Genomic DNA, 15,759 nt, shown 5'->3' with positions numbered 1-15,759 from the left:
CTGTCATGGCAGGAAGCTGCCATCTTAATAGCTGTAGCATTTAGTAAGCAGCTGCCCTTTTAGAATTCTCCTTGGTAATGAATTCTTCCCCTGCTGCTGCATTCCAGCCAATTGGCTTTTGCTGTGGCAATATGCCTCTTAGCAGACCTCATTAACTTCTGAAAAGACTATAAGCTAAAACACAACTGCACATGCAAATGAAAAAGAACAGCAACGGAACTAATTATCAAAGAAAAAATAATTACAGGATTAACTGATAAACTGATTAAATTTAAATAAACTTAAATTATTTCCTAAAGAGGGAATGAAAATGAAGGTGAAAGCATTAAAAAATTGAGAGATTTTGTTTCCTAAGTGTCATTTACACTATTTTATCTCAATATTAAATAGGCATTAGATGCCTATCATGGAAAAAAAAGACTTGCTAAAGTTGTGTGTGTGAGCGTAAGACAGAATAGATGAGGATATAAGATAATAATAGGATAAGATATGAATATAAGAATAGGATGAGGAAAAGGACAATAAGGAGAAAGAGTAGAGAGAATAGAGATTTTGTGTCACTTTTAAATGCAATAATACATAATCATCTTTATTTAAAGTACATGAATAAAATACTTTTTAACAAAGGAGACAATTGCACAAAAGACTAAGTAATTAGACTTCTAACTTTGTTTTTAGGTAAGACCCAACCAAGCAAATTGGCTCTCAGATGAATTCATGTTCAAAGAGAAAGAGGCTCATTTAATGTCCTGTGCTAAAGTATTAACCTGACAACTGATATGCACTAGACTGCAAGTTCCATAAGCAGGGACTTTATCAGTTTCTTTCCTTATTGTGAATACAACATGCATCATAGGGCTTGGAAAAGAGTAAGTTCTTCATGTCTTGACTTCTAGCCAGTAAATAATTTCCAAATTGAAAGAACTTCAGTATTAAGAACTCAAAATGAAGAGTAATGAGGATAATAAAGAAAGCAATTCTGTTTTCTTTATAGAAAATAAATTTTAAATTTTTCATAAAATTAAATATATAAATATTGAGGTATATCCTAATAATATTCCATAAGTACATACCAAAGCTCTTCAGACTGCACAAGGCACAATAGTTAAGCATTTGCCCTAATATACTATTACACATTATACAGACATGCTCACATATACACATTCTAAGTCTGTGTGTTTCCTGACTGTTTTTGAAAACAATATTAGAGAATATGACATTTTTAACAAAATATTTTAAATTACAGTGTATTATTCAAGCTGGGATTAAGTTTCTAGTTTGCTTTTAGTATGCACTACAGATATGAGGATTGTTGGATGATGAATGCTGATTCCATATGTGAAACAATGCCTCAATCACAGAACAAAAGTGAGTCAGAAACAATTTGTGATTAATTCTTTTTCTTTTTGGTATTTAGTTGTCCCAAGTGTATAGTTATTTTAGTCCAATTTTTTTTTAGTCTCTTTTATGACAGAACAGGATTATTTGTGCAGGATCAGAAGTATTAATGAATTGATTTATTCTAGCCACAGCAGAGGGAGCTATCATTAACTCATACATCTCAGAGGTTTCTGGGTTTTTTTTTTTCGGTTTTGTTTTGTTTGAGGCAAAGACTCACTGTGTCACCCAGGCTGGAGTGCAGTGGCACCATCTCGGCTCACCGCAACCTCCGCCTCCCGGGTTCAACTGATGCTCCCACCTCCCCCAAGTAGCCAGGATTACAAGCGTGCACCACCATGCCTGGCTAATTTTTGTATGTTTAGTAGAAATGAGGTTTCACCATGTTGACCAGGCTGGTCTCAAACTCCTGACCTCAAGTGATCCACCCGCTTTGGCCTCCCAAAGTGCTGGGATTACAGGCATGGGCCACTGTGCCCAGCCCATCTCAGGGGTTTCTATGCAGCTTCTATTGTTTTCACAATGAATAACTTTTCTTTCTTTCTTGAAAACTAGTAATTTAGATTTAGATATCCAATACTCATTTCTCATGCATCTACAATACATAGTGTTTAAGAAACTAGATTTCGGACAGAAGTAGATCATAACTCCAGTTGCTAATAACAGCAGTTTACTAGCTGTGTGATCATGGGAAGACTAAACTTCCTAAGATTTTGTTCTTTATTGTTTAAGATGGGAAAAATAATACCCACATCATAAAGTTATAATGAGTATCAGATGCAACAATGCATCCATAAACCCCGGCACAAATTCTGGCATATGGTTAATGAAATGGCTCATGGAATACTATTGCCTATGTACAGATATTAGCATTGCTACTTTGTAGTTATGCAACATGTGGAAGTCACTTACCTTTCCTGTTTCTCAGTCTCTCTATCAATAAAATGGGGATACTACTACTTTATTACTTGCTTCAAGAAGCAAATGAATCAACATACATAGAGCATTGGAACAGGGTTTGGCACAAAGCAATAATAAATGCTTAACCTTATTCAATAATAATATATTCAATATTCAATAATCAGAAGTGCGTATCATGAAATAGGTATGGTTACTTTACTCACTACTGTTATGTGCCAGGCACTATCTTAGGCATTGGCGGCATAAGGTAAAAGACACTCTCCAGTTCTAAAATACTTAGTCTAGTGAACTTTGCATATTTACACATGACTATGCTTCTCCTCCAGAAATTAATACAAAAAGACAAGTCATCTTTTTGCATGTCTAGCTACATTTACCCAAAAGAAGAATTATCCACAACTCTTTAGTGATGGAATTATTTTCTCCCTCTTAATCTAAAGATATCATAAAACTACAAAAAGAAAAGGGCCAAGGGGAATCAGTGTGGAACATAGGAGCAATCTTCTCTTGTCCTGGATGGCGAACTGCCATTCCCTGACATAGAGAACATGAGAATCAAGTGCAACACCTTTCTTAATCTCATTTTTCAGTTTTCCATAGAATCATAAATGTTTCATATGATACCAAACGTACACCAAACAATGCCTAAAACTCTAATCAGCCCATGACACCAGCAGGAAACTCAGGACTGGGGCCACTAATGGGCTACAAGCAAAGTGTGTAGGGGAGAAAATGGTCTATTTAATTGGAGAAAAGAATCAGGATACAAAAGGTGGATAGACTAGGCTATATCTAACAAGATGGGCCTTAATCAATTAAAATAATGTGATTGGAGGACAAACCTAAACAATAGGAGGATATGGATTGGTAAGTAAAGAGACTTTCCAGTTTTAGGAACCCCCATACCAGTCAGTTTTGGCTGCTTGAACAATAGCAACAGTGACAACAACAGCAACCCAAAGAAGCCAGTGAGGTCTATCCTGCAAAGCCAGAACTCTGCAACTTAAATGCAAGTGCCAATACCAGGTTAGATGTTCCCTATTCAGTTATGAATACTGCACTTAAAGGGGGCCACTGATGGGCAGCAGAGCACTCCTCCATGCATTCAACTGGTATTTCCTGAGCACCCTCTGTTTTTCCAGGACCTTCTCCAGGCACTGGGGATTCAGAGAATAAGGTAAACATAGACAATATGGTCTCCTTGAAGCTTACTTTGGGGTGGGGTGCAGATATAAAATTAAACAAAATCAGCAATTTCAAAGGCTAAAAGTGTTATGAAGAGAATAAAATAAAGAAGGGTGATGGACAGGGAGTGACCAGAATGAAGAGGAAACAGAACTGACTAAGACCAGGTGGGTGACAAAGATCAAAAGACTCTTTCGAGGAGCTGACCTTTGATTGGGACCACCCATTTGAAGATGAAGGAAAAGAACATTCCAGGTGGCGGTGACAAGGGCAAAAAGAGAAGACTAATGTGTCTGAAAAGCAGGGGAAGAGGAAGCAGACAGGATACACCTGGAGGAGAGAGGGAGGCAGGGTCAGATCAGGTAGCATCTTGTAAGCCATGATAAGGAGGTGATTGTATTCATTGTATAAATAGCAGTCATTAAAAATATAAAGCTAAGGCCTGCCTGGTGGCTCACACCTGTAATCCCAGTGCTTTGAGAGGCTGAGGCAGGTGGATCACTTGAGGCCAGGAGTTTGAGACCAGTCTGGGCAACATAGTGAGACCTGGTCTCTACAAAAAAATAAAAATAAAAAATTAACTAGTCATGGTGACAGGCACTTGTAGTCCCAGTTACTTGTGGAGCTGAGGTGGTAGCATTGCTTGAGTCCAGGGAGTTGGAGGCTGCAGTGAGCCATGATCACGCCACTGCGCTCCAGCCTGGGCAACACAAAGAGAACCTGCCTCAAAAAAACAAAAATAAAAATAAAAATAAAGCCAAGATGTGACATGGTCTGATTCATATTTTAAAAAGATTTTTGGATTGCCATGTGGATAATAAATTGGGAGTAGGGGAGCAGGTAAGGCTGGAATCAACAAGAACAGTTAAATAATTTTTAGGGGGTGGGTGCAGCTGAGCAGAGTGCAGGTGATGTGTAGAAGATACAGAGAAAAATGTGCTCACGTGATGGGCCACATGAGGAATCATGCCTCAGGCAGAATGGCTGAAGAAAAAGGGCCTCATTAGCTGACAAAGAAGAACACTAGTGGACACCGATGACAGCTGCCTCCAAATCCTTATGTAGTTCAGTTCTGAGAAAGGGCCTCTGTGCCACGAAGGGTAGGCAGGCTTTATGTCAGTGGTGTGAAAGACTCCACATCTCATGCAGTGGAGCCCTCTGCTCCACTATATATAGACTACCTAACGTTGAGGATGCAGTATCTGTTTAACACGGTTGTTGTGAGGATTTATAAATTAATGTAAAAAAAAGACACCTACTTCATGAAAAGTACCTAGTAAATGATAGATTATAACAACTGTTATCATTAGGATTATTTTATTAGAAGAAAACTATTTTAGGGGGAGTTGCTTTTAACCACTTTTGTTTTTAAAAACTTTCAAATAATTTGATGAAATATATGACTTCTCCCCAGAAAATATATGCATGACATATACATATAGTACATTCATACTTACGCACACAAAATTTTGCATACAACTTTTAGCACTTAACAGAATCCTTTGAGAGCCCATCCATGAACCCCTTAGGAGAGCAGAGATCTTGAGAAGTTCTGTTCTAAAAGAAGGGAGTTAAGAAGCCTAAAGTTGGTTTAAATATAAGCTTGCTAACTAGTGGAAAATTAGAGCAGGGAAAATTTCTGGCCTTTCCGTTCTCTCCAAGGAGTTGTGCAGCAGCCTGGAGAGAGGAAATCAATGCACACACATACTAACAACAATCACAACAGAGGCAGCAGCATAAAAGAGACCATCCTGGCCAGGCGCAATGGCTCACTCCTGTAATCCCAGTATTTTGGAGGCCGAGGCAGGTGGATCATGAGGTCAGGAGTTTGACACTAGCCTGGACAAGATGGTGAAACCCTGTCCCACTAAAAGTACAAAAATTAGCTGGGTGCAGTGTTGGGAGCCTGTAATCCCAGCTACTCCAGAGGCTGAGGCAGGAGAATCCCTTGAACTAGGGAGGTGGAGGTTGCAGTGAATCATGATCGCGCCATTGCACTCTAGCCTGGGAGACAGAGCTAGACTCATCTCAAAAAAAAAAAAAAAAAAAAAAAAAAAAAAAGAAGACCATCCTTAAAGAACAGGCACATTACTCCATGAGTCAGAGCTATGGGCAAAGGGCCTTAAGGCTTTCATCAGAGAAGGATGCCAGACATTGGCATGACCCGTTCATTGTCCTTGTATCCTCCCTGAGCTAGGTGAGGGGAGACTTGCAGGGGCTACGGTGCCCATACTTCTGTGAATGTGAAATGAACTGGAGAAGTAATATTTGTTACTGTTATCCAAATGGACCCTGAGCTGTGGTTGCCTGGGAAGTCTGAGAATTACACATCTACTTGTTTGTGACAGAATGCAAACTCAGAGCCAGGTATGCATTTGTGCAATGTCTGACAACTCCCCAGACTATTGATTGAAAGATAAAAGGCATAAAAGTGCTGTGAGAGTCAAAGCAGGTATTTGGACTCTGACTCAACAATGAACTCTATAAAGATTAAAACTGAAGTGAAATACAATGTTTTGTACCAGTAATGTTTAGACCTTTAGACAAAGACTTGGCAGAGATATTGAAAAAGGACCAGAAACTTTGAACACAGTGTTTGAACTGGTGTGTGTGGTTGCTTTCTTCAAAAGAAATCTTACACAGAAATCCAATAAATTGCTTATAGGAGAGTTGCTCCCACAACAGTGGAAATGGGCACTCTCTCTACTCCACCTACTTGGCCTAAGGCACCCCCTCAAAACCTTTGGTTTCTCAGGATACAATTTGAAAACCACCAGATTTGGTGACTTCCAAGGGCCCTGCTAGACTGTCTGTGAATTTGGAACAACACTAAGTTGAGGTTACCTCAAATTACTTTATCTTTTCCTTAATTGACAGATAATTGCATATAGTTATGGAATACAATGTGATGGAAAAATACTGCATGATTTCACTTATATGTGGAATCTAAAAAAAGTCGAACTCATAGAAATAGATAGTAGAATGGTGGTTACCAAGCACTGGGATGAGGCAGGATGGTTTGGGGGGGTGGATAGGGAGATATTCATCAAAAAGTACAAAGTTTCAATTAGACAGGAAGAATAAGTTTGGGAGATCTATCATACATCAGGGTTACTACAGTTTTCAAATATATGATAATAATGTATTGTATATTTGAAAACCGCTAAGAGAATAAATTTTAAATGTTCTCACTATAAGAAAATGACTTTATCTTTGACTCAAAACTCTTAGACATACAATCATAGGGCATAAAGAGTTTTAAAATCCCACCAGAAAAATGTATACAGAAAAACAGAAAGCTTTGAGTTTGACTCAGGATGCCTCTCCCTGCCCTGGCCCAGCCCACTCCCCAGTCTACCTCCAGCATACCTCTTCATGGACTTTGGGGAGAGTTCCTTCTCTACTTCCTTCACAGGCATGCTGTAGGAGTCTACATTGTACTCGCTGTCATCGTCATATTCATGGTCTAGCAGTGTTCTTGCCCATGTCCCCATGTCATAAGGAGGCAGCATTCCTCCAAACTCAGAGGGCAGGATCTCAGGATGAATTAGTTGGTGTAGACTGTTCAGGTTGTTACCATGCAAAAATATCTATAAATGCAAGAAGACGGGAGGAAGGGAAAGACACAGAGGAAACTAAATACCATCTAAATCCTACAGGGGGGATGTGAGGATAGCAATAGCAAATATGAGTTTCGCATGTCTGTTAAAGTACTTTAGCCAGTCATCTACTCTGTAAAACAGGCAGAGCTGGTACTGTTATCCTAATATATCATACCAAAATCCTGAGGCTCAGACACTTTAAGTAATTTCTGGAAGGTCAGAGAGTTATTGGGTAAAAGAGCTGCAACCACAAATTTGGTTTCCTTCTTCATAGGCAGGGACATGGGCAGAATAATACGTACATGCTGATCTGTACATCATCCTGGTGTTAGTTGTGCAAACTTGATGATGTGTATAATGAATGCTGTGAAAACAGACCCTTCTCATAAGGGACTCATCAATTACAGAGCCTATGCAAGTTATTACACCAAAAAGCTGTCACTTGCAAGGCTTTCTCTTTATCATCAATAAAAATAAGAATATTGTAACCACTAAATTACTGTTTTATAATGCAAAGTGGGTGATGTAAATAACCAAAGTAGATTAGCATCGTCATAATGAAAGGCTGAGTGAAGTTCATGTCCCAAAGGACATTATGTTCTGTAATGTTGCCAGTATCTTCTCTACTAAAGATTTCCATACTGACTGTCCAAATAGAAAAAGAAACAATGAATTAAAAATGTAAAGCTGTATGCATACCTTAATCATTTTGTCTATGATTATAGACAAAATGCTCTCCTCATTTTTCCTAAATGGAATCCAGTCTGGCTTTGTCTCTTACCACTGAATGAAAACAACTTTTGTCAAGGTCCTTCTCATTGCTAAATTCAGTATCCAATTCCCAGTCCTTATATATCTTTAACCCTCAGTAGCAATGGGTATAATAGATGACTCTGTTTATTGAAACATTTTCTTCATGCATTTCTGATTTTCTTCTACCATCCTAAATAGTGCTTTAAAAAAAAAAAAACTTGAGGCATATTCAAGCCACATACTCAAGATTTGTTTTTCCATAAACTGCTACCTTTGCTCTTCTTTCATTTCAGTTTCAAAACTACAGATTGGCCTTCTCTGCTACAACACTGTTGTCTCATCTACATTTATATAATATTTATTTCAAAATTATAGTAAGTCATAAAAATAATTTCATTCTTGAGTTCAAGAAGAATAAGCTAACACATTCATATTTGCTTTCTGTACCTTCAGAATCCACTGAAGTAAATACATTGGGAAACAAAGAAAGATTACTCTACAATATCAAATAAAATTAGAAGATGGTAGTTGCCACTTAATAAGCATTTTCAACAAATTATAGAAGAGTAAAAGCAGAAACAGCAGGTCACTGGCCAAAATAGGCAGAGCAAACAGCTGTCTGGAGTACATGACATGAGGCCCACAGGAGGTGGAAGAGGCCATCTGCCCCAAAGTACACCAGGTTAACTGCAAACTTTACACCTTCCCTCTCCTGTCTGAGGGCACAACAGCCAGTATTTATATCCAGGAAAACACATGTGCACCCCTGTGTTCTTCTTATAAGAAGAAATGAAAATAATTTTCCTGTGAAAGTTAAGTTATGGCACATGCAACCCTTATTTTATTAGATATATAACTTTTATTTTATCAAATGGGATCATTCACATAAGAAATCTTCTTCAACTCATGCAAGAGTCATGGTAATAAATCCTTGGAGCAGTCAGTGTAATCCTAGCACGCTACTTCCTCTCTCTTCTCTAACACTCTGTTGCCTCCTTCCGCAGCATCATTTTCCGCTTTGGCCTTGCTTCCACTTTCACTAAGAAAATAGGACAACCAGATGACATCAACCCACCCACCAGCATCTGTGTCTATGTATTTTGCCTTCACTGCTAGTACAATGAACAGATAAACCCTACAAAGGGCAACCTCTCCACCTGCGCACTAGAATTCGTCCTCTCTCCCCTACTCGGTTGTATTTCTTAACAGTTCTCTCCTATCTCTCACACATCCTCAGATTTCCTCTCTCTGCTGGATCTTTCCCATCAGAGAAAGAACATCCTGACTCCACGCCCCCCACACAGACACATAAAACCTCTCTCGGCCCTACTTCCATCTCCAGTTGCTTTCCTATTTCTCTCCTTCTCTTTATAGCAAAATTCACCCAAGGAATTGTCTATATTCATAGTCCAAATACTCTCCTCATTTTTCCTAAATGGAATCCAGTCTGGCTTTGTCTCTTACCACTGAATGAAAACAACTTTTGTCAAGGTCCTTCTCATTGCTAAATTCAGTATCCAATTCCCAGTCCTTATATATCTTTAACCCTCCGTAGCAATGGGTATAATAGATGACTCTGTTTATTGAAACATTTTCTTCATGCATTTCTGATTTTCTTCTACCATCCTAAATACTTCTTGGCAGTCTCTTTTGCTGATTGCCCTAATATCTTTTTTGTTTGTTTGTTTGTTTGCTTTTAGACAGAGTCTTACTCTGTCACCCAGGCTGGAGTGTAGTGCTGCGATCTCAGCTCACTGCAACCTCCGCCTCCTGGGTTCAAGCGATTCTCCTGCCTCAGCCTCTCGAGTAGCTGGGACTACAGGCGCGCCATCATGCCCCGTTAATTTTTTTGTATTTTAGTAGAGACGGGGTTTCACCATGTTAGCCAGGATGGTCTTGATCTCCTGACCTCATGATCCACTCGCCTTGGCCTCCCAAAGTGCTGGGATTACAGGCGCGAGCCACTGCGCCTGGCCTGATTTTCCTAATATTTTAACTGGAGAACTACTGGTCTCAGTCTTTGGATTTTTTCTCTTCTTTAACTATATTTTCTCATTGGTGATTTCTTTAAGTTCATTTTATTCAGTCAGTGGCTTTAAAATAATATCCCTGCACTAGAAATATATGTCTTGAATCCAGGCCCCTTTTTCAAACTCCATAACTGTATTTCCACTCTCCACTTAAAATATCCACTTAAATATTCAATGGCTGCTGCAAATTTAACGTGTTCAAAATTGGACTCATAATCTTCCCCCACCTCAAATATGCTCCTCCCTATCTCCAACATCAGTTAATGGTGTCACTATTCTTCCACTTTCTCAGACCAAAACTTTCAACTCAGCCCTTTACTCCCCTCATCATCTCAGTTGTCAGTAAATCTTTTTGGTGCTATCCTCAAAATGTATCCCAAATCCAATCATTCTGATTAGCTCTACCCCTACACCCATAACACAGCTACTATCCTTTCAGGTGTGCTCTTGCATGAGCCTCCTAACTGTCCTCTCTATATCCACTCTTCCACCTACACTCTATTCTCAACAGGGCAGCCAGAATGACCATGTCAAAATATAAGTCAGGTCATATCTTTCTCCTCACAATTCCCCATTGACTTCTTTCTCTTAGCATGAAACTATAAGGTCCTATAAGAATTACTTCTTTGAACCCATCTCCTTCTATGCACTTGCCTCAGAACATTTATAATGGATATTTCTTCTGTCTGGAGATTTCTACTCCCAAATGTCCTCATGGCTTGTTGACCTACATCCTGCACATCTCTTCTTAAAAGGCCCCTTGTCAGGAAGGCCTTCCTTGGTAAACCTATTTAATACTGTAACCCTGCCCAACCTGGGAAGCCTATCCACTTTCTATGTATCATGTTTCTTGACAGCACCTCCCAACTTCTAATATATCATATAATTTCCTTACTTAAATCATGCATATATTGTCTTGGCAATTCATTAAGTATAATGCTCTTATTTCTCCAAAGCCAAGATTTGTTGAAAAAATATATATTATATGATGATGCTCTTTTAGAACTCTTACATGTGAATTGCATCTCTGGACCAGGCAGTAAAGATGCATTGCAATTGCCCAATTGTTAAGTTTCTACTTTTGGATTTTTCTTTGTTTTCACTAGTTCTGTGTAATAACATCATTTATTAACATTTTACTATTTTTCTCTCCTTATATGTTTTTCCTTCCTCCATTTCATGCAAGAAGTTTGGTCCTTGTTGGTTCCTGTGCCTCTGAATACCTTACAATTCTGAGAATTAGCCTGAATAATACTTCCATTTTTTATTTTACTTTTCTACACTGTGCTATTAAAGAGATTATGCTAAGTGATCTGGAGTGAAAAAGAACAGATGAAAGTCTTTTGAGAATCAACAAGGAGTAGAAGACAACATTGGCCATATTGACTAAAAGGAAGAAATTTGTGCCAATTAGTAGGAAAACCTGTTTCCCATCAACTTTTAAGTAGCAGGAGCACAACTATTGACTTGCTGAAGAATACACTAGGGTAGTGGGTTTCATTGGATTTTAGCTTTTGCAAAGATACCCCTTTTTCACAGATAACTTGGGAGCAGTAGGAGACCTTAGTTTAAGGAACTAATATTGGTTTGAACAATGAGGACATCAGAAGTGGCCATGATGGATGGGAAGTTTGGCTCTGCGTGAAAGACTCCAGATACTGGTGAGCTTTTGAGGGAAAAGGACACCTGTACTAAGGGTGATATTCCCAGCAGCCCAGTAAGTTGGAGACTCAAAGTCAAATTTAATTTAATTTAAGAAAATGAAGCAGGTGATTCTTGCACACCTGAGTTTGTAGAAAAAGATTCACAACTGCTTCCTCAGTTCTCTTTTACTAGCTTTTCAGAACATAGACTTATAGCATCCGAAGCATAAGGTGTGTGAGTAATATTGTGATACTGACTCACTTGGAATATCAGTGAAGAAATTTAATAGCTTTGCACTGTGTATTGATTATATAAGTAGAAATTTAAAGTATTTAAATATATAATTATTTTCTCATATGAAAATTTCCAAGTCATATAATTTTAACTAAAATGGTAAAGTTTAGATACCTTCCTTCCATCTGGAATAATGCTAGCAGTGCATGCTTCTAGGTTGTCAAAGCTGTCCAATTCAATTACAAAACCCCAAAACGCAGTGCACTCCTTGTTTCCCAGAATTGATCCTCTTCAGTCTTTTTCAACAGAGCAGAATCATGTTAAAAATCATTTCAGAACAAGTAACCCCTGTATTCAATGACCTTCAAGGGCTTCAAATTTCATTCTGACTGAAAGCCCAGATTCCAGCAATGGTATATGAGTCCCTGTGCGATCTGGTACAAAGCAGTCCCCCCTATCCCATCCTCTACCACCTACTCCATCCCCTATCATCTGCCCCCATAGCTCATTCTGCTCCAGCTTTTCTACCTTCTTGCTGTTTGTCAAATACACTAGGTGTGTTTCTACCTGAAGACATTTGTCTTTGCTATTCCTTCTGCCTGAAACTCTCTTTCCCATAAATTCACGTATCCGGCTCTACGATCTGCTAGCTGTGATTCAGAGCAAATTGGTTAACCTTCCAAGCCTAATTTTTCCATCCATAAAATGAGAAAAATAACAATATATACTCCAAAGTGGTGTCGTAAGTACTAAATGAGTTAACTTATGCAAAGCACTGAGAACAGCATGTGGCATTGAGTGAATACTGTATAAGCACTCACCAGTATAATTTGTACTAAAAGCCCCTGCAGGTTTTTTGGATCACTTGATCATCCTTTCATTAAAGCAAATCTTGCAAAAGCACTTGTGAGGCATTTCAATAAACTTTCTGAATTCCAAAATATGAATTAATTTAATACTTGGTGGTAGAAACAATTTCTACTATAAATTATAATTGTTTATAGAATTCTTCCTCCTAAACTATTAAAACATTGTCAACAAATTCATTTACAGTAAACCCTCTGTTCACTGATGCTTGATATGAACATGTAATTATTGTATTTTCAGGAGCGCAAATTCACTTACAGTAAGCCCTTTGTTCATTAATGCTTGATATAGACGTGTAATTATTGCACTTTTTTAAAAATTATACTTTAAGTTTTAGGGTACATGTGCACAACGTGCAGGTTTGTTACATATGTATACATATGCCATGTTGGTGTGCTGCACCTATTAACTCATCATTTAACATTAGGTATATCTCCTAATGCTATTCCTCCCCGCCCCCCATCCCACAACAGGCCCCGGTGTGTGATATTCCCCTTCCTGTGTCCATGTGTTCTTATTGCACTTTCACACTCACAATAAAGCTTCTACCTGAAGTGCCTTCTAGGTCATTGAGAAACATGGAAAATTATCTTCCATATAGATTTAGAGGAAAATGTATTTTGCTGTGGAACTAATCATTCGAAAACTGGGAACAGCACCAGGAAGTAAAAATAGCTCTATACATGGGGCTGAAATATTTGGGTTTGTATACTAGCTCTGCAACTTTTCTTCTGTGTATGTGAGTAAGCAGGTTATTTATCCATTCCAGGACTTAGTTTCTTCAGCTCTAAAACAGGAAATAATGGTTACTAAATTTACTTTTCAGAGCTGTTGCAAGAATTAGTGAAATGTACATCAAGACTTATTTTAATAAAAATAATGTGTTCAGTATTTACCTTGTGCCCTACACTGTATCAAATGTTTTACATAAATTATCTCAATCTCAGAAAAATTATTTTGTTTTATGCACTTTGACTATCCTCATTGTTAGATTAAAGTGAATTTAAAGAGACTTCAAGTAACATATAATTTAAAGAAATATTAAAATTTCCACACATTAGCATTCTTTTCAAAATGTGTGACTGATCATGATAATCATTGTAAAAAATTATATTAGATACCACAGATTTCACTACATTCATTGCGGTACATACTGTGAAAAAACATCCACTTACCAGCATATAAAATTATAACTTTTGTTTAGACTTTACTTCAAATTAAGTGCATCAATAACACTATAGTAACATGGCATAAGAGTTTTTTTTGGCCTTTAAATTGAGTCTTTAACAAACAGTGAATATGCTAAAATGTCCTCCTTTTTGTGAGCAAGTAGGAGAGCTAGCTTTTAAATGCTTCTTTCACAGATATACTGTTCACAACCACAAAATCTGGAAGAATCTTAAAATGTCTTCTATGTTGATTTCTATACAATGTAGAAGTACATTTTACTATAGCTAACATTATATACACATTATGCATTATAATTCATTGGATGGCGGAAGAGAAAGGATTAAAAATCAAAGAAAAGAATACCCTTTTCCGAGTTTTCTCCTTCAGGAAAGGCCGGATCACGGTGTACAGGGCATGGATATACCATGGTTGATTGACAAAATGAATTCCTCCAAATCGCGCTGGGAAACTATCCTAGAGTAACATGGAGAAAAAAACAATCAAAATATGCTTTAATAGACTGAGAAGGTTTAGGAAAGGTTATATGGTATACAAATTTATTCTTTCACATACTTAGATGAGATTATCTGTGGAGTTAAGGAGAGAAAAGAAGAACCTTACCACGTTAAACATTGTACTTTTCATACAGTAACTGAAGCAATGTATAATAAATCAAATCCTTCCCAAGAATAGGTTATTGATAAGAATTTCAGCATTTTTAAGAGGGTCGTAGTTTAAGCCTATAAACTGCTAATAGTCAGTACAGGCCAAGAAACAAAAACAAAAGTCATTAGAGATTTGTCAAATAATGAATCTACATTCTATAAAGGTTTCATTTAAATTATTTATATTTATATTAAAATCTATTTTTTAAATAAAATATTTTATTAAATCCCTATCTAGTCATCTACAGTGTGAGAAATGCCAGACACAAAACTCATTTTATTCTCTTTATCTTATTATTTTATCAACTTAGTTATAAACATTATCTTTTCCTTATTTTAACTACAAGAAAGTAACATGCTTAAGCAAAATAAAAATGCAGAGTTGTACTGTAAGAAACTTAAGGATGTATTTTGCTAGGTTAAATGAAAATCGAATCTCTCTGATCTCACTCCACAGGAGGAAAATGTAAAGCCAGCCTCCTCCTCTTCCTACCCATGATTAAATAGGTACAGCCCTAGCCCATTCCAAAATATGAAGGGAACCCTTAACCCAAATGAATGGCAACATTTGACACTGCACTTGAGTATGTTAATGATTCTACATAAATGGATCTGATCCTTGCTACTCTTTCAAAATTACACATTGAACTCACTACAAAGGTCTTCTTTAAAAAGAAAAAAAAAACTAGCCTACTAGAAGTGCCTCTGAAGTGGCATCATAATACTCGGCATTCTTCTGAATTCTATTTAGAGCACAAGCAGGAAGAAAAGAAAAGTAAAGGAACTAAAATAATTGTATTTTTTCAATTTAAATGTTCTCTTGAATAAGAGTCTCTGGTCAAAGACTTGCAGGGCATAACCCTATAAAAATATTTTGTTTTTATTTTGGACACTTACGAGCAGTAGTGAATTAATCTAGTATTTGCATATTGATTTGCAGAGCTGCCAAATTTCATTTTGCGAAGCAACTTCTACCTCTGAGAATAATACCCTATAAAGCAATAGTAGTTCAACAAATAATAAAATAGCTTAAGATAAAACTTTTACTTTTTATGCCAGTGTCTTACTTCTTTTGTAAATATGTGGTTTTCATTCATTGAGAGGTTATTATAATAATGAAATGAATCTGAATACAGGCATAGTATATTTTAAAGTTATGAAATATGTATAAATAAAAAGAAGATAGTATATACCTAAATAAGAGAATACTAAGACAAATACTCATATATCTTAATATTATTATTAATAATTATTATTTCACCTGGATATGGGAGTCATAGAGAGGTTTCC

General features: G+C 37.2%; 1 protein-coding gene across 2 annotated transcripts in view; it reads right to left on the bottom strand.

Annotated features, from left to right (window-relative positions):
* CLVS2 (clavesin 2) overlaps positions 1-15,759 on the bottom strand; it is a 76,691-nt gene that overhangs the window by 10,026 nt on the left and 50,906 nt on the right. Inside the window, exons 4-5 of one of the 2 annotated variants that reach the window (NM_001010852.4) lie at positions 14,168-14,278; positions 6,874-7,094 (exon numbers count right to left, since the gene is read on the bottom strand). In NM_001010852.4, the coding sequence (NP_001010852.2) occupies positions 6,874-7,094; positions 14,168-14,278 (332 nt within the window). The remainder of the gene's footprint in view (positions 1-6,873; positions 7,095-14,167; positions 14,279-15,759) is intronic. The other variant, XM_047418196.1, reaches the window with a different exon arrangement.

This window comes from Homo sapiens, chromosome 6 (genome assembly GCF_000001405.40).
Source record: "Homo sapiens chromosome 6, GRCh38.p14 Primary Assembly".
Lineage (NCBI taxonomy): Eukaryota > Metazoa > Chordata > Mammalia > Primates > Hominidae > Homo > Homo sapiens.
Note: the sequence above shows the minus strand (reverse complement) of the source record. Positions and strands in the feature narration are given on the sequence as shown.